The sequence below is a fragment of the Homo sapiens genome, chromosome 13, assembly GCF_000001405.40.
Source record: "Homo sapiens chromosome 13, GRCh38.p14 Primary Assembly".
NCBI classification, from domain to species: Eukaryota; Metazoa; Chordata; class Mammalia; order Primates; family Hominidae; genus Homo; species Homo sapiens.
Window position 1 is genome coordinate 95,530,578 of NC_000013.11, and position 26,382 is coordinate 95,556,959.

Here is a 26,382-nt window from a genome sequence, read left to right on the forward strand (position 1 = left end):
CCCAAATTTCATAAAGGAGAATGTTAATGCTATGGTTACAAGCTTTTACACAAAGAAAAATACCTGCTACATAGACACTCAAGGAAAACATCTTGTGTTTATCAACTACCTTGTGCTTATATTTTTTATTGTTTTATCCATATGTTTTCCTAAAGTATGGCCCTGAAATTCACTGATCTTTACAATACCTTATTATAATAGGAACAGTCAAAGAATTATTTTCTTTCTTTACAAATAAAAAATAAAACATGAAACTCACTTACCTAAGTTCATATACTAAGATCCTTCCTAGAAACACCTCTAGCCCTTCAACCATATTAGACTCCAATGAGAAGAAACTGATCATCTTTCCTTTTTTTTTTTTTTTGAGATGGAGTCTCACTCTGTCACCCAGGCTGAGTGCAGCGGCACAATCTTGGCTCACTCAGCCTCCCGGGTTCAAGCGATTCTCCTGCCTCAGTCTCCCGAGTAGCTGGGACTACAGGCGTGTGCCACCACACCCGGCTTATTTTTTGTATTTTTAGTAAAGACGGGGTTTCACCATGTTAGCCAGGATGGTCTCGATCTCATGACCTCATGATCTGCCCGCCTCAGCCTCCCATAGTGCTGGGATTACCAGGCGTGAGCCACCACACCTGGATGATCATCTTTCTTAAATAACAAAATATGGTAGACTTTAAATTAGCATATAATGGCAGTAACATAATTTTTTATTTTGCATTTTCAAGGCCAACTTAATTTTCAAGTAAAGATTCCAATGCATTTGATTAGCAATATGAAAGTTATATCCCTGAAAGAGAAACAAATTGATTCATATTTTAAAGAAGCCATAGGGCATCAATTTTTCTAGTAGGCGGTCAAAAGTCATTATATCCTCATTATTAAACTCTTATCCAGATTACAGGATGTAAAATTTAAATTAAAAGAAGGAAACTTTTGGATGTTGATTGCTCAGTATTACCTTTTTTTTTGAGACAGGGTCTCACTCTGTCACCCAGACTGAAGTGCAGTGGTGCAATCTTGGCTCATTGCAACCTCCACCTCCTGGGTTCAAGCGATTCTTCTACCTCCCCTCTCAAGTAACTGAGACTACAGGCGCCCACCACCACGCCTGGCTAATTTTTTTTTTTTTTTTTGATATTTTTAGTGGAGACGGGGTTTCACTATGTTGGCCAGGCTGCTCTCGAACTCCTGATCTCCACCCATCTCAGCCTCCCAAAGTGCTGGGATTACAGGCATAAGCCACCGCTCCCGGCTAGTATTTACATTTTTAAAAAGATAAAGGAATAGATCTGCGCTTACACATGTGTTTGATTTTCCACAAAGGCACCAAAACAGTCCAACAGGAATTTAAACAAATGGTGCTAAAGTAGCCAGAGAGCCATATGGAAAAATGAATCTAACCTCTGATTCATACCAAACAAACAATAATTAGAGATGGATCATAGGCCACATAAAAAACAGCTAAAAGCAAAGGGTTTAAAATGAAAATATAGGAGAATATCATCATGACTTGGGGGTAGGCAAAGGTTTCATAAGATAGGTCATAAAAAAGCAATAACCATAAGAGAAAAAAATTTATATACATTAGACATCATCAACATTTAAAACTTCTGCTCATCAAAAGATGCCTTTGAGAAAATAGGCAAGCCATACACTGAGAGAACATATTCACTAAGAATGTATCTGATAACAGCCTGGTATAGAAACAGCTCTTACAAAAACAAAGAAACAACTCAATAGAAAAGGAGCAAAAAATTTGGACAGGCACTTCACAAAAGAAGGTATTTGAATGGGCAATAAGCACATGAAAAAGTGCTCAGCATCATGAAGTTATCAGGGAAATAAAAATTAAAATCACAATAAGATATCATTGAATACCTACAAGAATGGCTAAAACAAGAGACTGATAACATCTAACGTTGGCAAGAATGTAGAGTACCTGCAAGTTTCACACATGGTTAGTGGGAATATAAAATAGTACACTTTGAAAAATGGTGAGGTAATTTCTTATAAAACTAAACATACACTTACCCTCCCACCCAGTAATTCTGATCCTAGATATTTACCCATGATAACATGTTCACAAAAAAACTTGTACAAGAATGTTCATAGCAGCTTTATTTGCCCAAAACTGGGAATAGCTCACATGTTAATCTGCAGAAAAATGGATAAACAAACTGTGATAGCTTCAGATACTGGAACTCAATTCAGCAAAAAAAAAAAAAAAAAAAAAAGAAGACATGAACTGCTTATATGTGCAACAACATAGATGAGTCTTAAAACATACTGAAAGAAGCCTTATACAAAAGAGTACATGCTGTTTGATTGTATCTAGATAAAGTTCTAGAATAGATAAAACTAGTCTACTGTGGAAAACACAAGAAAAACGGGGGGAGTGGGATCGACTGGGAAGGAGTATGAGAGAACTTTCTAGAAAGATAGTGTTTGTTTCATTTACACAGATGTATGCATTTGTCAAAAGTTAGTGAATGTACACTTAAGATTTATAAATTTCATTGTATGTAATTTTTACATCAAAAGAAAAACTAAATATTAATATCTAGCTAGTGATATGCTTGCTGAAGGATTTAGGAGAAATTGTACTGAGGCCTGCAATTTATTTTTAAATATTCCAAAAAAAAAAAAAAGATTGATAGAGGGAGGGAGAGGGGGAAGAAGAGAGACAGAGCGAGAGAGCAAAGCAAATAAAATGTTTATGGTAGAATGTAGGTGTTGGGTATGATATATGGGGTGTTTACTGTAAAATTCAACATTGCTATATATTTTATAAAGTTTTATGAGAAAATGTTGGGGAAAACAAAAGTAGATTTTTAGAAGAAAGAACCAGTTTTCAATAATCTTTAGATATAACACTCCCCTAATACATTTCACAGAATTGTTTTCCAATGGGACTATTTGATAATAAATAACTAATTTGTTCAATCCATTAAAAAATAAATCACGCTGGTATCTTGAGTCTCTTCTAGTAATTGTACAGGTATAAGAAGGTGGAGGGGAAAACCTGTAGGTCAAATAAATTAGGAAGTATTTATTGAGCTTTTACTATCTGCCTACCCGGTGAGATACAGAGACATCCAAGACTTAGTTAGATCTTACCTGCAGGGGCCACACTCTCACTTGGCAGCCATGAAGAATGAAGCAAAGGTCAGGCCTGCGGGCAATGCAGGGTAAGGATAAGGACCCACATGCTCAGCAGTACCTTCAAGGCCCCAACCCTGCTTCTCCCCTCCACTCTGATCTTCTCTCTTTCTCCCACCACAGGTCCCTCTACCCAGACTCTACCCAGAGCTCTGTCTGCCAGGCTCTCCTCCCCGGCACCAGGCTTGAGTATTCCGCCTCACTCACCAAGCCTCAGCCCCCGCCCATTTCCTCAGGGACATGCTCCCTGACCCAGAGCAGAGATCACGTTCTTTGTTATACAGTTTCAGAGTACAGTAGTCCTTTATTAGAGAGCATTTGATTCAGTTTATAATTACATGGTCACTGAGGGATCGTTTGGGTAATGTGTGTCTCCCCTACTAGATTTTCAGCTCCATGAGAAAAAGAATTGTATTTCCTTTTTAATTCTCATTATATCCCCAGCAATTTAGCAGCATCTGCTATGTAGAAGGTTACATATGAAAACACACAGAAAGCATTGGGTGTCTTTTTTTTCCTTCAAATAGGAAAGAAAAAGAAGAAGAAAACATGGTTATAACCATATGAAGCTACTGCCAGGACGATATGTTAATAAAATAAATTTAAGAAAAGATTTGTTAAAATCAAAAGAGGAAAAATATTTGTAGAATTATAAAATCTTATGTGGTAAGGGATATTGTGGGTCATCTGGTCCACCTAAGCTTAACTATACTCCTGTCAAATGTATGAATATCTTTAGTAAATATCTTTTGTTATTTTACATTTTTAAAAATAACTTTTTATATCAAACCGTTAAAAATTCAAAAAAAAATCAATTCTCCATCTTCAGAAACTGATTGTTATATAAAGAATTTAGTATAATGCATGATTCACAGTGATAGTTATAATAACTACTACTAGTAGGAGTATTACCAGGAAACCTCTAAGTTGTAGTGCATCATTTTGATAAGAACATGTGTTTTGGATCATTTAAAAAAAGGGGATTAAATTATAACTCTGCCTCTAAATGGCAATACATCTTTGAGCAATTTTCCTAATATCTCCAAACTTCAGGGTTTTTTTTCTCCTGGCATTCAATAAACGGTAGCCAATCATGGTTATAATATAACAACAACAGTGAGGATGAATAAGAATCTGTGTTTATTCTCAAAGCGCTCACAGCTCAGCAGGGACATGGATACAAACTCCAATTCTGCGCAGTAAATGCAACAATGGAAGCACGCCACCAAGAATGAGAGAGTGACTCTCAGGCCTGGTCTATTGGGGGAGGAAAGAGTTTTTTTAAAAAGTAATTAAAAGGAATTCTCCAGGCTAATTAAGCAAAAAAGGCATCCTGGGTGGAAGAACACTGCCATGCATGCTTGCTATGATCCAGCAGAGTATTCCAAGGTGCAGCATGGCAGGTGATGGGCTGAAGATCCTAGGATACCTTTTGTGTCATGATAAGATACACAGATTTCATTCTGCAAGTAATGAGGAGCCCGTGAAGGGTTTTAAAGGGGTAAAGAAACAATCAGGCTTATCTTTTAGGAAAATCAGCTGGGGAGTCATATTAGAAGGGGTGAGCCCTGGGGCAGGAAGACCAGTCAGGCTAGTGGATGGAAGAGGTGATGAGGGTCTAAACTGGGAAGAGTAGTGTGGGCCTGGAGAGGTGAGAATGACTCATGGCAGTTCAGAAAGAGTGTCAACAAGATTGAGTGATGAGGAGTACAGAGGGAAGAGCGCCATCCAAGATGACTCAGGAACACTCATAACTTGCTTGGCAGACTGAGTGGGTAGACAAACAAATATGGTTCATGGTTCAGTGGAGAAAATACAGAAGGGAGCTGCGGGGGAGGTGGGGGTGAGAGGTTTAGTTGTAGACATAATTGAGGTCTCCATACCTGCGAGCCACCAGGAGAAAGGAGAAGATGTCCCATAGGCACATGGGACATCAGAAGAACTGATTCTGGGTCAGGGAATCCCATTATGGAGCCACCAGTTGGTTCAGGGAAAGACTGTGATGTGAAAAGGGGTAAGTGCCAAGTACAGAATGCTGGAGATACCAGCCCATGAGGAGACATGGAGACGAATCGTGGAACAGGCAGAGAAATCTAGGCAAGAATGGGGCTATGGAAGCCGAAAGAATAAAGTATTTCACAAAGAAGGAACTGAGCAACTATGAAAAAGGTGCAGAGAAAACAAACAAGATAAAGAATGGGGACTGTTCACTAAGTCAGGTAGCACAAAACCACTTGTCACTTTTGCCTATGGTGTTTCAGTGGAAAGGGAAAGGTAGGAAAGATGGCAGTGGATGGAGAAGTAGATGGGTGGTGGACAGAGAGACTGTGATACTGTAATAGACAAGTCTATTGAGATGGTCAGTTAAAGAAGAAAAATGAAGAATATGTTTTAAATGTCTCTCAAGATATCTTTAAATACATTTGTGTATTTTCCTAAATTTGAAAAAAAAAAAAGTCCTTAATATCTGCTTCATCTAAGCAGAAAGATCACCTGAGGTCAGGAGTTCAAGACCAACCTAGTCACATGGTGAAACTCCATCTCTACTAAAAATACAAAAATTAGCTAGCATGGTGACATACACCTGCAATCCCAGCTCCTCTGGAGGCTGAGGCAAGAGAATCGCTTGAACCCAGGAGGTGGAGGTTGCAGTAAGCCGAGATCACGCCACTGCACTCCAGCCCAGGCGACAGAGCAAGACTCTGTCTCAAAAAAAGAAAAAAGAAAAATCATCCAAGGGACAATTTATCCTTAACCATACAAAACTTACAGCCTCAAGAGGAAGATGAGCTTTGGCTACTGTTTTCTAGAGAAAATTGGTCCTAAAAATCATTACTTTGTAATGATTGTCACAATTTCTCAACACATCTTGATTAAAAGAAAACGATAGATTCCTAATTCAAGGCGCTTCATAGTGCCATCTATGCGTTGCAGTTACAAAATCTTCACCTTCTAGTTCTGTTAATACTGGCTTTGCAATGTCCTCACACCTGTTCTTTCTCGTCCTTTCCCACGGTCCTTACAATAAAACTGTTTATTTTTTAAAAACTGCATGCCTTTTTAAAAAAAAGTTCATATTGAAATGTCTTAACAATCTTTATCCAAAAGAGGGCGCAAATTTCTCATGAAATATAGTGCGGTATTTTACAAAATGTCTTTGCTGCTAGTGGTATTTAAATTTCACAGCTGCTGTAAGTTAATGCAGAAACACTATTCCTGCAGCATGTGCATGTGAATCCTGTCCTGTTGTGTGTGTGCTAATTAAGAGCCTTTTGCTTCTTTAGAAGAGTTTCAGAGCAGAGCTAAGGCTTGCTGAAGTAAAGAAGTAAGTTGAAGCTAACATTTTTTCTATTCTGGGTAGCCATATCAAATTAAGATAGAATATTTTAAAATTAAACATTAAGTGGGGGAAAAGAAAACCTCTCTGTTTACAATCTTCTAATTTTAGGATGTATTTCCATTCTACCACAGATTAAAGAATGCCTAATGAAGTTAATATAGTTCAGACTTTGTGTGGGGTTGGTTAATAGCTAATCAGTTTTGGGGGGGTTGTTGGTTATTTGTTTTGTTGCCAGAGCTGGAAACATTCATAATTCAATGAATACCCAGTATGCACGGCTCTTCTTGCGTACAGGAGGCAGTATGAATTGCGAACAGAGGGGATCAAGTGAATTCTGGTCTCAGCTATTACTGTAGCTTGAGTCCCACCATAATTTGTGTACGTTTTCTGATGGGGATGATATGCCAAAAAGGTGCTGAAGTAGAATTGGGTGTCATAAATATGAACTATGCAAATGGAAGGAAGTGCAAAGACGAAACCATTTTTTCAATGGTAGTAATATACCACAAGTTTCCCTTACTTAACAGAAATTCATTTAACCAAATTCTTTACTTGAAATATATAAATTAGGGTACCACTTCACTCCACAGAATGGCATTTCCAAATTTGAAGTCCTGTGCTTATTCTTGCTTCTGTAACTGGCTTGAATTCCAAATTCCAGGTTTTCCATCATAACTACCTGCCTGGTAATTTGCTGGGGTGCGGTAGCCATGAACACTCACCCACGAGTAACAAACACTCACCGGGGTAATTTGGATTGGCTTCCAGCCCCTAAAAGTGAAACCAATTATAAGTAGAGAATCCCTGAAACTTTATCTGCCAATTGATAAGCACTGGTGGCTATCAACTAGAACCCAAAACTACATCCTTCAGTGGCAACATACAAACAGCACTAAATGAGGGCAAATGCAGAGCTAAATTCATAGCCCTTTTTATGCACCAGTCTAAAACAACGTTGCCAAGAAGATCTGCAGAAATTTTTGGTAGAGAACCAACATGACAACAAGAGCCAAGCATTATTTCCAGCTTTCATTTGATTACAAATCTGTGACCCATTGACAAACTGTTTATTTCTTTTTTTTTTTTTTTTTTTTTTTTTTTTGAGACATGCAATGGCACAATCTTGGCTCACTGCAACCTCTGCTTCCTGGGTTGAGGCGATTCTCCTGCCTCAGCCTCCAGAGTAGCTGGCACCTTACAGGCGCCCACCACCACGCCTGGCTAGTTTTTTTGTATTTTTTGTAGAGACAGGGTTTCACTATATTGGCCAGGCTGGTCTTGAACCCCTGACCTCATGATCCACCCACCTTGGACTCCCAAAGTGCTGAGATTACAGGCATGAGCCACCACACCCAGCCAACAAACTGTTTCTATGAATTACCAACAAGCATTCATACCTCCTCTCCATATGTGATGATAGAGTGATATCAATTGATTCATCATATTGATTTCCTCTTGTCAGTGGCCAAACCTGCCTTCATCACGCACCCCATGCAGCTGCAAGGTCAATGTGTGTGTTCGCTCTGAAATCCTCACGCTGCATCTTGGCCAGCTTCCTCCTTTCCTGACCATAAGATCTGATCTCTTCTTCTATAGGGTAGAGCCTGGATCACATTTTCTTTTCTGAATTTCTGAGGCCATGACTCCTCCTCTTCCTCTGCCTATTGCTATAGCCAACACCGTTGTCCTGCTGTACCCGCTTATGGCAACAACCCTAATGCCTTAGATTCCATTCCTGTAGACTCCACAGAGAAGGCGATTTTTAAGTACTCAAGTTGTTTGATAATGCTGAACTTTGTAACATTTCTCTCTTTTTTTGAGATGGAGTCTCGCTCTGTCGCTCAGGCTGGAGTGCAGTGGCACAATCTCGGCTCACTGCAACCACCGCCTCCTGGGTTCAAGTGATTCTCTGGCCTCAGCCTCCCGAGTAGCTGGGTTTACAGGCACCCGCCATCATACCTGGCTAATTTTTGTATTTTTGTAGAGATGGGGTTTCACCATGTTGGCCAGGCTGCCCTTGAACTCCCGACCTCAGGTGATCCACCCACCTTGGCCTCCCAAAGTGCTGGGATTACAGGCGTGAGCCACCGTGCCCAGCTGAACTTTGTTACATTTCTAAAACATTTTATTGCTCTCCAAGAATAGAAACCAGATCAAATGTTTGAGGATAGCAATGTAAAAGTAGAGGGTACAAAGGAACCAAAGTCACTGGACTCTTAAAACAACACAGAAGAAAAAGTGAGGATGCTGGCATTACAATTGGATTGTGAATCTGTTTTCACCTTCAGTATTTATATTGAGACATGTGGGAATACAGTATTGTTTCAATATGCCTTCTCTCAAATGATCATTTTTTAGTTGGTACATGACTAAGAGGTTTGCTATATTCATTGGAGTAACATTCACGTTCTGAATTAATTTGCTTAGAAGATGAATCTGACTTTATAATAAAAATTTTAAAGGAGTCAATTAGAAAAGAGCAGCTGGAAGAAAGTTGTTGCATTATTTAAGGGCTTGAATAATATACAAAGGTAAGTTAGTAATAAAAAGTTAATTACAAGATGGCTTTATTTCTTATTGAAACTGTATTTTCTACCTTTCCAGAATATTGTCCTGAGAACACTTACATATTCCTTTTTTTTAGAAAAACTGTGGAATGAAGAAGGCACTCATTATTTTCAGCTCCCATAGTTATAATTCTGTTTCTATAGAAATTTGCAACATCCCATAGAGTACAGTATTTTATTCAGCTTTCAAAAGATAATCTTGACCCTTTAACACATGTTTACTTTTGGCTGGGCAAGGTGGCTCACGCCTGTAATATCAGCACTTTGGGAGGTCGAGGTGGGCAGATCACCTAAAGTCAGGAGTTCAAGACCAGCCTGGGCAACATGGTGAAGCCCCTTCTCTGCCAAAAATATAAAAATTAGCCTGACGTGGCCAGGCGCGGTGGCTCACGCCTGTAATTCCAGCACTTTGGGAGGCCGAGGTGGGTGGATCACCTGAGGTCAGGAGTTCAAGACCAGCCTGGCCAATATGATGAAATCCCGTCTCTACTAAAAATACAAAAATTAGCCGGGCATGGTGGTGCATGCCTGTAGTCCCAGCTACTTGGGAGGCTGAGGCAGAAGAATCGCTTGGACCCGGGAGATGGAGGTTACAGTGAGCTAAGATCACGCCACTGCACTCCAGCCTGGGCAACAGAGGGAGACTCTGTCTCAAAAATAAATAAATAAATAAATAAATAAATAAATAAATAAATATTAGCCTGGCATGGTGGCATGCGCCTGTAATCTCAGCTGCTTGGTGGGGGCTGAGGCAAGAGAATCGCTTGAGCCTGGGAGGTGGAGGTTGCAGTGAGCCAAGATAGCACCACTGCACACCAGCCTGGGCAGCAGAGCAGAGACAGACTCTGTCTCAAAAAAAAAGCTTACTTTTAAGAACTGCTTACATTAATTACAAAAGACCACTTTTTAGTTGTTAATATGCATTAGGTAACAAATACTTGGCATATATGCATTCTTTGAAAATATCAGACAAATAACTAAACAAAATTGCATGCTAGTTAGTGGCTCGGACTGGGAAATGAGAAGTGATGTTAATTCTTAACGTTGGCTACTTTTGTCACCTGTAAAATATGATCAAGCCTGTTAGTCTAACTTAATAGCTTGAGTAATTGATATAGGGAGTGAAGTTTTTTTGGGGGTTGGGGAGAGACATTGCTTTTTTCCACTGACACTGACGATACCAGTTTACTACTATGTGACACTTTTTGCTTGAACTAGAAGAGATAAGTAGTATTTTTCAAGTTTTGAGGTTTGGGTGTTCTGCTCTTGTGGACGTGTCATGTTTAATAAAGCTTGTTCACAACTACTGGCTTAGGAAGTGGCTTGCAGTTGACAAGTATGTGACTTGGAACACTGGGTGGAATGGCCACGTGGCCCAGTGGCCCAGGGCCCACACTGAGAATGCAGCAGCTGTGCATGCTAAATCTGGCTCTGTCATTAACCTGCCGAGGGACCTTCTACAAATGCTTAATTCCAACCATGAAAGCAAACATAGGCACCGATGCTTGAGAATAGTTGTAAAGGAAATCAGGCCTTGTGCAGAAAATAAACGGAACTCGTCTGCCTTTCCTTTCTAACACTTGTTGGAGGCAGGGAGGAATTCAGAATGACCAGGCTGCAAGTTACTGTTCTTTGCTTCTAATTAAGAGGCAACTATACGCAAGTGAGCATAATTAGGAGAAACTGGGGCAGCTGGGGCAAGTATGGGCAAAACTTAAGCCAACTTTGAAAACTAAAGGGCAAATCTCTGGAGTAGTGAGAAAGAGATTTCTCCCTGGTTCCCTCTCTTGCTAGCTGCATATGTGTACAATGACCCCATCACACTCTGCGTCTGAGCCTCCCTCTCTTTCTAGTTTTTTTCTGTTTCCCCTGTTCCTTCTTGTTTTTCCTTTGTTTGCACTGTCTGAAGGGGAGGAGGAGACAATATTCTCCCATTGCATTTTTTATTACTTCCTCTATCACTAGATCTAGGCAGAGCTTTTGAGACTTGTTTTGACACACTCACTTTTTTTCCACACTCACTTTTTAGACGGGAAAAATGGGCCCAATCAAATGTAAATGAACAGCAAGGTAGTGACAGCTAGAATAGATGGCAGGTCATTTAAATGCCAGTCCAGTGCTATTTCCATACATTGCACCCAAGTTTAATGATTAAGAACAAACAATAACACTCCCAAGGCTGAACTGACCTTATATTTTTCATATGTAAAAATGTATTCTATGTTTGTTACCTCACAACTATGTTAGTCCATTCTCACATAGCTATAAATATCTGAGACTGGGTAATTTATAAAGAGAAAAGGTTTAATTGCTAGGTTTTGCAGGCTGTACAGGAACATGATGCTGGCATCTACTTGGCTTCTGGGGAGGCCTCAGGAAACTCACAATCATTGCGGAAGATGAAGTGGAAGCTTGCATGTCACATGGTCACATGGCCAGAGCAAGAGCAAGAGAGCGAGGTGGGAAGTGCTACACATTTTTAAATGACCAGATCTCACGAGAACTCATTCACTATCACGGGAACAGCCCCAAGGGGATGGTGCTGAACCATTCGTGAGAAATCTACCCCCATGATCCAGTCACCTCCCATCAGGCCCCACCTCCAATACCGGGAATTACAATTCTACATGAGATGTGGTGCAGACAGATCCAAACCTTATCAGCAACCACAGGAGTTAGGGCAGGTGGAGGATGTGACAGCATTTAAACACCATTATTTCATGTACATGGAATTATTTGATGTAGAGTATGAATGTATGTACTTCGAAATTCAACATGATTTTGAAGTATATCCACAAGTACGGTTCATCTTTGGCCCAGTTTGGCCAGAAATAAAATACTGCACTGGAAATATGTATGCTACATTCACTAAATAATTTTAAAATGAGAGTTAAAGGTCATAATCATAGTTATGAACATAGATGCCAAAGCGGGTGAATCACTTGAGGTCAGGAGTTCAAGACCAGCCTGGCCAACATGATGAAACCCCATCTGTACTAAAAATACAAAAATTAGCTGGGCATGGTGGCGCACGCCTGTAGTTGCAGCTACTCGGGGGGCTGAGGCAGGAGAATCTCTTGAACCCAGGAGGCAGAAATTGCAGTGAGCCAAGATGGTGCCACTGCATTCCAGCCTGGGCAACAGAGCTAGACTCTGTCTAAAATAATAGGAATAATAATAACAATAATAAAGACATAGTTATGACCATAGCAAACAAATAATGGTAAAAACTCACACTCACATTTGTCCAGTGAGAGGTAAAGCAAACACCAGTATATATGGAGATGTAAAATCCACCCTTTAGGCTGGGCATGATGGCTCATGCCTGTAATCCCAGCACTTTGGGAGGCCAAGGCAGGTGGATCACCTGAGGTCAGGAGTTTGAGACCAGCCTGGCCAATGTGTTGAAACCCTGTCTCTACTAAAAATATAAAAATTAGCCAAGCATAGTGTCACATGCCTGTAACCCCAGCTACTCGGGAGGTTGAGGCATGAGAATTGCTTGAACCTGGGAGGCAGAGGTTACGGTGAGTCGAAATCGCACCCTTGCACTTCAGCCTGGGCGACAGAGCGAGACTCTGTCTCAAAAAATAAATAAATAAAATCCACCCTTTTGAGAAGTCTTCTGCCCTGAGACTGAGAGTCAGCCAGAGCTTTTCAGGTGCTAAGTAACAAAGAATGGTGCCATTTAAAATAGGTGGAAGTGTGGAGGTACATACCACTTAGGGCTTAGCTTGATTTTCCCTAAGCCAGTGAAATACAAGAGTCTTGAAAGTCAGAAGTAATTGGCTGTTAGGAAAAAGAGTAAAAGAAACTGGTGAGTCTAATCTGTGAGTGAAGTTACCATATACCTATTCCAGGTAGCAAAACAAACTAAAAGAAAAAAATACTGCATTTTCCAAAATTCATAAAATTTCCCAAATTCATAAAGTTTATGAATTTAGGAAAATGCAGTATGTTTTTCTATTAGTTTATTTTTTCTATTAGTTTGTTTATGAATTAGGAAAATTCATAAATTTCATTTCTAAAATTCATATTTAGGAAAATGCAGCATGTTTTTCTATTAGCTCATATTTTCTATTAGTTCATATATTTTTCTATTCCTTTCATATTAATATTGTGTGATTCCAAACTATCTGTAGAAAAATTGTATAGTGATAAACATTTATATACATATATGCAATCGATTGTAAAAGACAAAAAAGCAATTATTTGAGGATTAATTTAATTGTTTAAAATATAAACTGACAAAGCCTTATATTCATAAGATTTTAATTTGAAAGGATATGACATTCCTTCTTCATGTAAGAAGATTATACTCAAAAGAGCAAATACAAATTAGACATTTACAGTCTGTTTTTGAGAGTTCATGCTTAACATTCTACCAATCTTAATCATATATCCTTTTTTGACTAATAAAATTAAATTCAACAACATTTAGCAAATGCCTATAGTATACCCAGTTCTATAATATCTATTATTTAATTTGTTGGATCCTCTCAATCACATCTGGAAATTAATATGAAATAATAAAATTGTATTATTTGCTTTTCTCCTCTACAGTATATGAACTCTAGAAAGTCAAGAATAAACAGAGTATCATTCAGGTTGCTTAACCAAATTTCATTGGCTGCTTTATTTAGCATGTCAAAAAATTACAATATAATCTTTCACATGGTGTTTTGATTGGAAATAAAACATGGCTTAACTCTATAGGATTACATATATGGATGAATTGTACGGTGGGAGGCAGCTGACATAGGGCATGTTTGTTTGTCAGAAAGATTTATGCCAGAAATCCTAGAGGTGTGGCAGTTATGATAATACAGGCAAAACATGACATCAACTTTGTTCTTTAGATGTTTTTATTCATTCTTTACAAACCCTAAATCATAGAAACAGCTATTGCTTTGAACCACAAAGAGAGGTGTGTCTGTTATCAGTCTGCCATATTATCAGCATACAATTCCACTGTGATTTCCTTTCTTTTTATGTTACTATTCAGAAGTCATGTATAGAGATGACTGCATGAACCTGAATCACGAAGCCTCCTAGTAATACACTTGTAAATATTTTACTGGGGAGCATAAATATATCTTTGAGGAGAACCTAGATGAAATAGGGTAGTTTTCAACTTTTTTTTTTTTTGAGATGGACTCTTGCTCTTCTGCCCAAGCTGGAGTGCAGTGGTGCGATCTCAGCTCACTGCAACCTCCATCTCCCCGGTTCAAGCAATTCTCCTGCCTCAGCCTCCCGAGTAGCTGGGATTACAGGTGTGTGCCACCACACCCAGCTAGTTTTTTGTATTTTTAGTGAAAACAAGGTTTCACCGTGTTGGCCAAGCTGGTCTCAAACTCCTGACCTCAGGTGATCCACCTGCCTCAGCCTCCCAAAGGGCTAGGGTTGCAGGTGTGAGCCACTGTGCCTGGCTCAACTTTTAAATATTATTCAAATCTTGCTTCTAATTCAGATTTTTCTTCAGCATCAAACTCAGATAATTTTTCAGATTTATACATTTTTGAAAAATATTGATAACATGCAAAATGTTATTCCAATTGATATACTACTTCAGCATATACTTTATGACCTAATGTGCATTAAGAAGTCACTTTTGAGTCCAGGCACGGTGGCTCACACCTGTAATCCCAGCACTTTGGGAGGCCAAGGCAGGCAGATCACCTGAGTTAAAGAGTTCGAAACCAGCCTGACCAACATGGAGAAACCCTGTCTCCACTAAAAATACAAAATTACCCAGGCATGGTGGCACATGCCTGGTATCCCAGCTACTTGGGAGGCAGGAGAATCGCTTGAACCCGGAAGGTGGAGGTTGCGGTGAGCCGAGATCGCGCCTTTGCACTCCAGGCTGGGCAACAAGAGCAAAACTCCATCTCAAAACATAAAAGAAAAAAAGTAGTCACTTTTGGGTCCCAGTTTCCTCATTTGAAAAATTGAATTAGGTAACTTTTTTAAGGTCCTTTCTAACTTCAGCATTCTAGAAATAAAAATATATACCTTAGTTTGATGTCCTTTAAAATAACAATATTTTTTATGGCTATTTAAAAACCATTGGTTTTTAAATATTTTCACCAGAAAATGAAATAAACATGAGAAGGAGCGTCCACAGCACAGTAAATGATACTCACTGCAGAACGTCCCCAACTCAGGATGGCAGGGAAGAAGGGTGGGTGCTCACTGGCAGAACGTTCCCATTCAAGTCACTGGGCTAGCTCCGTTTGGCTGAGAGCACGGGCCAGAGCTCAAAGCACGCAGAAGACAGATTTAAGAATTCTCTAATGAAGTCTTCTTACTGTGTGTGTGGACTCAAAGAAAAATATTCCAGACCCAAACTAACACAGTGAGTGAGCCTTGCTCAGGATACCATTAAACAGCATATTATTGAACTTCAATTCACTTACTGCAAGATCTAGACATATACAGAAATGAAGTAAGGAAACTAGGTACCCTGTTCAAATAATTCTGATTATAAAAGCAATTTTCCTGAAAATAAAGTTAAATCAAGTTATTCAGAACTGTCTTAATGCATTTTGTGCATGTTTGTTCACACGCTGTAGATATTGACTGTACTCTGTACACAAAGAGTTGTCTTGGTGGGAAGCAACTTCTCACAAGGAGTGGAGACTCTAGAACTGAGCTGGCACATTGAAACCTCACCTCCACCACCTTCCAGAGCAAGTGACTTAATCTCTCTGTGGTTCAGTTTCCTCTTCTGTACAATGGGAATGAAAATAGTACCCCATTGCATGGAGTTTTTATTAAATAGTATCTATTGCATGGAATTGTTAAAAGGTACCAAGATCAGTGTTTATTAGATAGAAATAAGAGAATGCCTACATTTTGAAGAAAAAAAACTCTCAAAATGAAGCACTAGCTTATAGGTATGTTTTTGTAAGAACATGCATTTTTAACCCTGAAATAATTCATTTTAAACTTCCTCTGATTTTCCCCACAATGTGAGCCACGTGGTAACTTGGGACTTCTGAGTAGTTTGGAATAAACTTTGCACCTGCTGTATTGTGAGGACTAGAGAGAGGAGCAAGTATCTGCATTTGGTAACAGACACTAGACTGTATTGCTTCCCACTCCTTACACCTAGTCATTGAGAAAACTGAGGGCTATGGAAATCATTCACCCTGTCCTCAGTGTCCTCTGCTCAGCTTCTCGTCCCAGTGCTGTCTCCCCTTGATTTCCCACTTCTTCTCTTCTTTATCTTTATTTCTTGCCCCTTGCTTTTCTCTTTGCAGTTTCTGTTCCCCTTACTCTCTCTGCCTTATCATTGGTCACTTCTTTCATTTATTTTTACTTTTTTAGAGACAGGCAGGCTGGTCTTGAACTCCTAGCTCATGCTCCCAAAGAGCTGGGACTACAGGCGGCTGGCTAACTTTTTTTTTTTTTTTTTTTAAGAGATGGGGACTCTCCCTATGTTACTCAGGCTGGTCTGGAACTCCTAGGCTCAAGTGATCTTGCTGCCTCAGCCTCTGGAGGGGCTGGGAGAGATTACAGGCACCCAGCTGTTCACCCTTTTAAATTTAACTGTCCTCCAGTTTTATTTCTCACTTTCCTTTGCAAGCGCCTCACTCCCAACCACTTTTGCTCCCCGGGACTATCCTCTGCTCTGACTTCCTGGTTTCCCTCCCTCTGCCCTCACTCTGGGCACCAGCCCCTTCCATGTTGGCATTCGACTCCACACTTTCTGCTTTCCTACTTTGAGATTTGCAATACACTTCAGCCTTATTCACTTACTGCTGTTAGCCTAACCGATTAATACCATTTTTATGAAAAAATGTAATTGTATCTCTTTAAAGAGACACAAGGAAATGAGAGGCATGAATGAACTGAATAATATTCATTATTTACTAAGCATCCACTACATTCCTGTCCTTCATATACATTGTCTCTATTCTTCACAACGCCTTTGAAAGAAGCTGTCATTTAGTCCCACGTTATACTTGAAGAAGTGATGCTGAGTGAGATTAGGTGACCTGTCCAAGGTCATTCAGAGGTAGAATTTTATCTCACATCTTTCTGATTACATCATCTACCCTCTGTCCGCTATATCTCCCTGACTCTTAAGTGAATGAAAGTACCATGCCTTATCACATTTCTCCTAAACAGAAGGAATAAGTGACAATAAGTCTACATGTAGAGATTTTAGATTTTCTCCATGCACTGCCTCTCACATACACATCTATACAGACGCCACCTTTAAATTTAACAAAGGAGGGAGGCAGAAAGTGGGAATAAAACAGTAAAGACACCAAAGGAAAACTGCTACTCTCCTCTCCTTGATGTTATCTGTGAATGACTAAGTTCATTAGGAATCCTAGACTCAGGGGTTTTTGGAGTTGAAAGTGGTCTCGGAAGATATCCAGAATAACTCCTCTGTTTTACAAATGAGGGAGCTGTAACTCAGAGACATAAAATCACTTGCCCAAAACATATAAATTAACATACTGCCCCGACCTGGGTGGGAGGTTATATTGATATTCATCAAGTGCTTATGGACAAACAAAATGTACCCAACCTGTCTACAAGCCCTGGAATGTTCTAGCATCACAGAGTGAGAGTAATTCCAGGCTCGAAGGGTATTCCTGCTGGGGCCCAAACCTTACCCCTCCCCTTCAGGGGCTCAAGAGGAGTCTACTAAGATAATTTAGAATTGGGAATGAGTGTGTTTCAAATGAATGCATGAAAAACAAATCCACAAGGTATATGGCACTGACTTGTAATAGGCCCATAGAAATATTCTGATGGAGTACAACTTCACAGGTTGCCAAATGACAGAATAAGGCAACTGTTTTTATAGTTATAATTTGCAAAAAAAATTATAGATATATATTTATATATGAATGGTGATGCAATGGTGAGAATAACTGTTCATTCTGTAACTATTCCTATCACTCTGTAGCTTTCATGCTAAGTAGATTACAAATATCATTGGATTTGCATAAGCATTAAGATAAATGAAATGTTAGGGAAAATGGAAGGAAAAAGAACACAGATATGCTCTTTTAATATCTTGGTACCGGCATTAATGTCTTCTTTAATGTGATGTAACAATACTTGGCTCCTGGGCAGTTGTTTTTTTTAGTTAATACCGTATCATCAGGAATTCAGTTTCTTCCCACCTGATTAGCAGCACGCCACCTCACTGGAATCTAGGAAGGAGCTAATGTATACTGAAACCAAATCTGATGCTTAGAAAATCCTTGAGCTATTGAAAGGCACACCTGCGTTGCTTGGTAGGTGTACTGAATCTCAAGTAAGGAATTTCTGCAAATCTCCTGTTTAGTTGGCTAAACTGGTTTTCACTCCTATTGAACAACCCCAGGGTGGGGGGGATCCTCTATTTCTCTTTAATAACCATAATAAGCCAAAGAAATAATTTTCAATGCTAATTCCAGTGACTTAGACCTCAAAAGTAGAAAGGCTCAGAATATGTTTGAGGGCATTGTATGTCTTCGGGTCAAATTTATAGATCAGTTAGTAGTTTTCATATTGGAAAAGATCTATAGCTTTTTGTAAAGACTAAACTATTGTTAACTAAGATGTTACTTTGAATAATTTAGAGGAGGCAACCTTTTTTGATGTATTCACTTTTATATTTAAATTAAGAATAGTCTCTTATGAAATTTCAGTGAACTGAATCCTAAAGAAAATAAGGAAGCATTTATCAGTCGAAAGTACTCTGTAAATCGGCTTGCAGATTAACTGCAAAGGTTATTTGGGAACTGTATAATCTTAAAGCAAAACAAGACATTTATCCATTACTTCTTTTCAAAAATCTCTATTTGGTCCATTTTTATTTTCTGGACATTCTTTTTTTAGATTATATGCTACTCCATAATATCTTTAGAATTCTCCTGACAAAACTAGCTTGAGAAGCATAAGATATAAGACATTCTAAAATAAAAATGTTTGATTCATTACATAATATTATCTAGGTATTAAAGAAAGTTAACATTTTTCATTCTTTGGTCAGGAACTCATGGCCTCCAACATACAGCTTTCCACAGTAACTATGTAGTACATCCTAGGGAAGATAAAGAAAAGAGTTTAGGGTTGTCCAACCTCATAGAAAGGAGAAAGGAAAATTAACCAAGTCCACAGGCATGACGACCCTAGTCTGTTTTAGCTGCCAAAGGAACTAATAATGCTGCCATTTAAGTTTTAATTTATGGATTGTTTGTGGTGTTTCCCATCCCTTTTAAGTTGAAATTGTGTGTTGCAATCTCTACAGTAATAGAATATTTCTTTTTTCAAAGTATTCAACAATGAGTTTAATATTCTTTCTTCCTGTGATGCATACCACCATCCGTTATGCTAAATTAACTGTTTATACACACATACACAGAGCTCAACTGGTCAGAGCTGTGGTTCTCAGCCTGAGTCCACATTAGAAGTTTTGGAAATACTGCTACCAAGGCCACCCCCAGAGATTCTGGCTTCACTGGTGTGGCGATGCGGCAGAGAGAAGAGTGTTCCAAGCAGGAATTCAGAATTTGTTTCTTCCGGATGCTATGTTGCAACGGTAATCTGGGCTTATGGATTTTTGAAGTATAATGGGTAGAGCTACATTATGTGTTAAATAAACTTTGCAGACTGGTTTAAAACACCAAACCATTCTTCAAAGTTCTTTCTTTAAAACAAACAATGTGCCTTTGGATCCAAACAGTGGACTTCATAGCAACTAGGTGATAAATTAGGAAGTGCTTGAGTCTTAAAGGTCACAGCACTACACTTGTTTTGTGGCAAAAGTAAGTCAGGGTTTTGTCTAGTAAAAACAAAGAAATAATCAATTTAGTGAGTATCTACCATAGGCGAGCCACGGTAAACAAAGGGACTATCGAACAAGGCCAGGAAATAAAGTATTAAATTTGTGTAATTTGTAATTTTAGAAAAATCAGTAAGAAATGTTATGGTTAGTGGGTTTTGTGTTTTTCAAATAGTAATTGGATCAGAAATAGGCAGATTATTCAGGAAGGAATATGGCATAGAAATAATAGTGGAAATATGCTGGAGGGCAAAAAAACAGATGATAAAACACTTTAAAAAGGCAAGCCATACAAAAGAATAGAGGATGCTTTGTAGTCATTGCTCAAAGGTGACTGATTTGCATAGCAAGGAGAATGAGAAGGAAGAGGTTAGGAAGATACTTTTTTTTTTTTTTTTTTTTTTTTTTGTATTTTTAGTAGAGACGGGATTTCACCGTGTTAGCCAGGATAGTCTCGATCTCCTGACTTCATGATCCGCCCGCCTCGGCCTCCCAAAGTGCTGGGATTACAGGTGTGAGCCACTGCGCCCAGCCAGGGAGATACTTCTTAAACTCAGTTTTTAAGTTTAGTTTACCAGTGAACCTAACATGATACATCAGGACAAGCTGGGGTTCAGAGCAGAACAGTAGGGTAACCATGTCTGCATTGTCACCCTTGTACCCATTCACGAAAGCCATGGGACCATTAAGCACAGAGAAGCCCACTACCTGCCAGCCGCTGCACGGCTGCAACAAGAGTAGGACTTACTTCGTGTTCTCAGAGCACAGATTACAACATTCGGGTAGACATTGAAGAGAGACAGATTTGGGGCTCAATAGGAAGAAAAGCTTTTTTAAAGGGCTGTCAAAACAACATGAAGAAAAACAGAATAGATACGTTGCCATGCACTGAACTGCTGGTCCTGAAGGGTGGAGCATGGGCTAAACATTATCTCTAGAAATAGACAGGAACATTGTTTTGAGTGTGGAGCGTGTCCTGCTGGTCTACAGTGATTCTTCCAATCTAAGTTTTGATGATTCTATGTCCAGCTTCCTCTCTTCTCCAGTCACCTTGTCGCCTCTAATTTCACTGGGCACCCATTTGGTTAAAAAAAAAAAGTGACAAAGGGAAATTAAGAAATTCTTCACATTGAACCAGAGTGTTTCTGCCTAAAGATAGTGACACAGAGGGTTAGCACGAGATTTATCACAGCAGACTGATTGATAGGTTTTAGACCTTTCCTTACTTTTGGCAACAAGTGAAACCTGGAAGCTCATAACAAAACTGCAAGAACCTTTAAGTGGACAAATAATAACCCGTGTCCTTGTTCTCTCATTTATGCCCAGATTTGTGGCCTCAGGAGCCAGAAGTACACCTTGATCTTTATGTTTACCTTGAGACAGCAATGAAGGGATGAAGGAATGAATGAGTTTATATTTCAATTAGGCGTGAGAGATGGAGGTGGTTTAAAAAAAAATAAAAGACAAGATAGCAGTTTTGACTGGGATAACAGCATCCTTTCATAGAATAGCCTCTAGACCTGGAAGCTGGAAGGGACCTACAGGGAAAATGTGTTGAACAAATGCCCTCTGCGTAGTGCATTAGTATGAGTACACCAGCAAGATCAAGATCGTCAGGATGCCCCATCTGCTGCTATCTTGACTTTAGGCCTGTGCCACGCACCGTTTTGCCATGACTTTCCGCATAGCACCAGGCCAAAAAGAACTGCAGAGTTTTGAGGGCAAGGCCGGTTTCCAGCCCAGAATCTGCAATGATCCCTCCTTGACAAGTCAAACAGAGTCACCCAAACAAGCGTGGCACGCAAACCTTTAGAGTTCAGCAAACCGAGGGCTGAGTTACCAAACCGTGTCCTTTCAGGGCATGCAAAAGGCTTTTCCTGCTCTGCTTCTACAAGGTAGTCAGGAAGCCAAGCTATTTGCCTTGGGTAGGGCTGGGTGGGGGTGGTGAGGTGGGGGCGCAGCAGGTTGTCCACACCCGGTTGCCAGTCTGAACCTGAGCCGCTCCAACAAGCGAGCCCTTCTCCGCGGCCCTTTGGCTCAGGGGAGCGCAGGCCGGCCTTCCTCCCGCACGCGGGCGCGGGCCAGCTGCAGATGGAGAACCCGGGGGGCGACCGCGAGCCCTCTGAGGCCCCTCAAGGGACAGGGCATGGGTGTGAGGGGTCGCGTGCGCCCCCTGGCGCCGGGTCCGCTGGGCGGGGTGGTGGGCGGGGACGGTGGGCGGAGGCGGAGGCGGGAGGCGGAGCCCCGGGGTTGGGAGTGCGGGGGTCGCGGCGCAGAGTGGGAGCCGGAGAGCGAGCGCGGCTGCAGCCGGCGGCATGGCTAGCACGGCTTCGGAGATCATCGCCTTCATGGTCTCCATCTCAGGCTGGGTACTGGTGTCCTCCACGCTGCCCACCGACTACTGGAAGGTGTCTACCATCGACGGCACGGTCATCACAACCGCCACCTATTGGGCCAACCTGTGGAAGGCGTGCGTTACCGACTCCACGGGCGTCTCCAACTGCAAGGACTTCCCCTCCATGCTGGCGCTGGACGGTCTGCATCCCCGCGGCCCCCGCCCTCAGCCCTCCTTCCTTGATGGCCAGCCCGCTAGGCGCCCTCTCGCCCCCAATACCCCCAGCGGGACCCCTAGACTGGACTCCTCTGAGGCCCGACCCGTCTCTCCCAACAGGGCCTTAGGGAGCCAGGGACGCTCCTGGTGCCCGCCCTCTCCTGATGGCTGTCTCGCGGGGCGCCTGTTCGAGCCTGGGACCCCGGGAGGGGGGACACGCAGACAGGCCCGGGTTGGTGACTCCCAGGCGTCGGGGGATGGGGAAGCTTTGCGGTCCTGAGAGTCAAGGAAGCGGCTGCCCTCCCCCACCCCCCATATCTTGGGGACCGCTGGGACCCAGAGTTCATGCTGCAGGGGCTTGTCTCCTCCACCTCCCTCCCCTACGTTCCCCGAAGGCTGGGTTCTGATAAAAATGGTGTCATTGCAAGCCAAATCCGTTTGTCCTGACCTCCCTTGAGCCATTTCGTTGGTTCTTTTAAAAGTAGGCGGGGGTGGGGGTTGAGAGGTTGGAAGCGGGAAAACATATTGCAGAATTTGTTGTTGTTATTGTTTCCCTTTAAAGAGCTTCTACAAACTTGTCTGCCTAGGCAACACTACAAACACTTCCTCCGAGTTTTAGGAAAATAATAGCCCTTGCGGTGCCGCGATGAGTCCGCAGAGGGTAGGGAATCTTGGGCCGTGAGAGCGTGGCGCCGGGAGCTGACCAGTTCTGCATCCGAGTCCCCGGTGCCTGCTGCTGTCCTGGGTTGTTCCTTTGTGGAGGTTCACCTGCGTTGCTCTGGTTAGTCAGGCCTTATGCTGGTAGCAGCTGGTGGATATTCACACAGAACTCTGGCTCTGTTGAGTTTCAAGACAACAGCCGATGTCAGCCCGGTCCCATTGATTGCTCAAGTTCTAGGCCCGTTGCTTCCAGGATTTTACAGCAAACGAATCCTGGCAGAAACTTAAGAGGAGTTATTTACATTACATATTTCTAGATTTGAGGTGTTTTTTTCTTTTATTACCGCACTTGCAGGTTTTGTTTACATAGCTGGGTAAATGAAAGAAAATAGTTGATTCCTCTAAGATGGGGTTTGCCACGAAGAGCAAACTGTTGCTCAACGTGGTATTTGATGGAACCTCCGTATAAGGAATACGCATCTAGTTTTAGAAGGGTGGCGCCCGGGTCCGTGTCCTGTTCGGTAAAATAAGCAGCCGGAACAGTGTTTATTCCCCAGCATTACCGTTGAATTTCCTGTGGTTTGTAGAGCACGCATCCAGGTAGATGAACAGGCATTCTCTTGTTCCTGTGATTTATAGTCAGCAATGTGTTACTGTCCTCTGAACACTCTTCTGTTGTAACTCTATTGTTCTCTGAGATAGTGTGCCAGATAGGTACGCTTCCTTCTGTAGGACAGTTGGGGGACAAGGGAGAGAAGGAAATGAATGCTCTATGAATATTATTAAGTGCAGAATAATAAAGTTTTCTCCTACATGTCTGCAGTGAGAGTGGAGGTGGTACCATACCTGTTTGGGGGCAGATCGGGCCGGGAGTGAAGAGGAAGTAGGAATAGTTGTCCTGGTTAGCTGGGAGGAGAACAGAGAGGAGTGACATTTTTATGCCATCCAGCTTGCAAAATGGCCTTCCTGTGTGCTCATGTGACTAAAAAATGACTTTTAAAAACATAAATGGCATGACACTACCTACTGTTGTACAACACTTTAAAATCAATGTATTTTTCCAAGTCAGTACTTAATAGAAGTGACTTGACTCTGTGTAACTGCTGCATGGTATATTCATTAGACTGCATAAAATGGCTTAGTTAACCATAGATCCATTGTGGACATTGGACCTTTTCCAGCTTTTCTTTGTTGGTGGTGCTTTACTGAAAATCTTATATTCACCTCTTTGTATGTGTGTGTATTTCTGTAGACTCCATTCCACTGAGAAATGGTATCGTAAGAGCAGTAGAATACACGTGCATTTTAATATTCAGTTCATACTGTCAAATTACTTTCCACTGACAGTGTATGAGAATACCTGCTTCTCCACATTCTCACCACTCTGTGTTAATCCAGTTTTTTTTTTTTTTTTTTTTGAGACGGAGTTTTGCTCTTGTTGCCTAGGCTGGAGTGCAGTGGCACAATCTCAGCCGACTGCAACCTCCGCCTCCCAGGTACAAGTGATTCTCCTGTCTCAGCCTCCCAAGTAGCTGGGATTACAGGCATGTGCCACCATGCCCGGCTAATTTTTTTTGCATTTAGTAGAGACAGGGTTTCACCATGTTAGGCTGATCGCGAACTCCTGAACTCAGGTCATCCACCCTCCTCGGCCTCCCAAAGTGCCGGGATTACAGGTGTGCGCCACCGCGCCCAGCCATCTTATCATTTTAGTTGGCATTTCCCTTATTGCCGTGGTCAAAATCACTGGTTATAAAAATGGTCAAAACTCACTGACCGTTTTTTTTTCTCTTTTGTGAATTGGCATCCATATCTTAGGCCCATGGTTCTGTTGTTTCTTTGTGGTTTCGATGATTTGTCAGTCCTTGATTTGTTATGTAGGTTGCAATCTCACACCATTGTTCATCTTTTAAATTTATGATGCCTTTTCTCACACAGGACTTTGAAATTTGTAATAGAATCATATTTATCAGCCTGTTTTTTTGATGACTTTCCTTCTGTGGCTTAAGATGGCATTTCTTACCGCAAAACAAACTTACTTTTCTGTATCTCTCAGAATAACATCTTGGAGGGTTAAATCATGCAACTGTGTTTTCCTGTGGAGGGGAGTTGATTCCCCCACCTGCAAGTGGAAGCTTCCAGGGTAGGGGCCCTCTGTTTGTCCTCTACCTTGCATTCCCAGGTCAGCCACATCTGGTGGGTGCTGGTCCTGACATTGCCTTTGGAGAAAGTGGCCATGGTGGCCTGAGTGGAACAGCCCTCCCCTTAAACCCAGGTATGAGCTCTAGATTGGGAAGAGAATCCAGGAAGGGAGAGAGAAGGCTCGTGACTCTTGCCTATCTTGTGTTAGGTAGAAGAACTCTTGGAGTCAAACGACGAGGTCATTATTCTGAATTTCTTTTCTTTTTTTTTTTGAGACAAAGTTTCACTCTGTCCCCCAGGACAGAGTGCCATGGCATGATCTCTGCTCACTGCAACTTCCACCTCCCGGGTTCAAGCAATTCTCCTGCCTCAGCCTCCTGAGTAGCTGGGATTACAGGCACCCACTGCCACACCTGGCTGATTTTTGTATTTTTAGTAGAGACAGGGTTTCACCATGTTGGCCAGGCTGGTCTTGAACTCCTGACCTCAAGTGATCTGCCCGCCTCTGCCTCTCAAAGTGCTGGGATTACAGGCATGAGCCATGCGCCCAGCCCTAAATTTCTTATATAAAGAAATCTCTGATTCCCCTCCCCTAGGGGTATCATTGCCACTTGTTTTCCTTATAAGAAAAATGAGGCCTAGCAAAGCTATATGTCTAGATTTAACGTTATGCCATATTAAGAACCCAGCTCTAATTTCTGCTTAGAATCCATTGTAGTATTATAATATGACGGGATGCTTTGATGACTTTCTTACTGCTCAGCAGACATCCATATTATTCATCCTGTGAAGGAGGTGCTGCCATCCCTGTTTTACAGATGAGAGAACTGAGCCTCAAAGAGATTAGGTCCTATAACCAAGTACATACCTTGGGTAAATAGAAGCACCAGAGGTGAAACTCAGAGTTCCTGCCCTCCCCATACCACTGTTCTCTCAAAGGATTTGCAGAAGTACACAAAGCTACCAGGAAAAGAAAAGCACATTCTTTTTTCCCCCCTAAATCCATCAACTAGCACAGGTGCTATTAGCGAATTGTCTCCACCAAGTGGATGTTTTCGTTTTTTGCTGATTTGCAATTGAAAATAAAGTACACATAATTTGGAAAACACTTAACTTTTAAGGAACACCTTGAAGCTTTCCTCCAACAGAGTTCATTAATTTAAAGTCA

At 41.2% G+C, this 26,382-nt stretch overlaps 1 protein-coding gene and 1 long non-coding RNA gene across 5 annotated transcripts in view, besides 1 other annotated feature; one reads left to right on the top strand and one right to left on the bottom strand.

Annotated features, from left to right (window-relative positions):
• CLDN10-AS1 (CLDN10 antisense RNA 1) overlaps positions 1–3,333 on the bottom strand; it is a 54,467-nt gene extending 51,134 nt beyond the window's left edge. Inside the window, exon 1 of the long non-coding RNA NR_046533.1 lies at positions 3,121–3,333. This is a non-coding gene — a long non-coding RNA (CLDN10 antisense RNA 1). The remainder of the gene's footprint in view (positions 1–3,120) is intronic.
• The window catches only part of CLDN10 (claudin 10), a 146,005-nt gene that overhangs the window by 96,823 nt on the left and 22,800 nt on the right, over positions 1–26,382 (top strand). The window contains exon 1 of one of the 4 annotated variants that reach the window (XM_047430765.1): positions 22,143–25,347. The exons of 2 other annotated variants lie outside the window; for them this stretch is intronic. Coding sequence is in view for 1 of the 2 variants with exons in the window: in NM_006984.5 (NP_008915.1) it covers positions 22,177–22,396 (220 nt within the window). In the remaining variant the exon portion in view is untranslated. Of the gene's footprint in view, positions 1–22,142; positions 25,348–26,382 lie in introns of those variants that run through there. One more of the 4 variants, NM_006984.5, reaches the window with a different exon arrangement.
• Positions 4,718–5,012: an enhancer, noted in NCBI's record as "tiled region #5370; HepG2 Activating DNase unmatched - State 8:EnhW, and K562 Activating DNase matched - State 9:DNaseU". NCBI's record gives its function as "activates a minimal TATA promoter and a strong SV40 promoter by Sharpr-MPRA in HepG2 and K562 cells {active_cell/tissue: HepG2 | K562}" and the evidence as "EXISTENCE:reporter gene assay evidence [ECO:0000049][PMID:27701403]".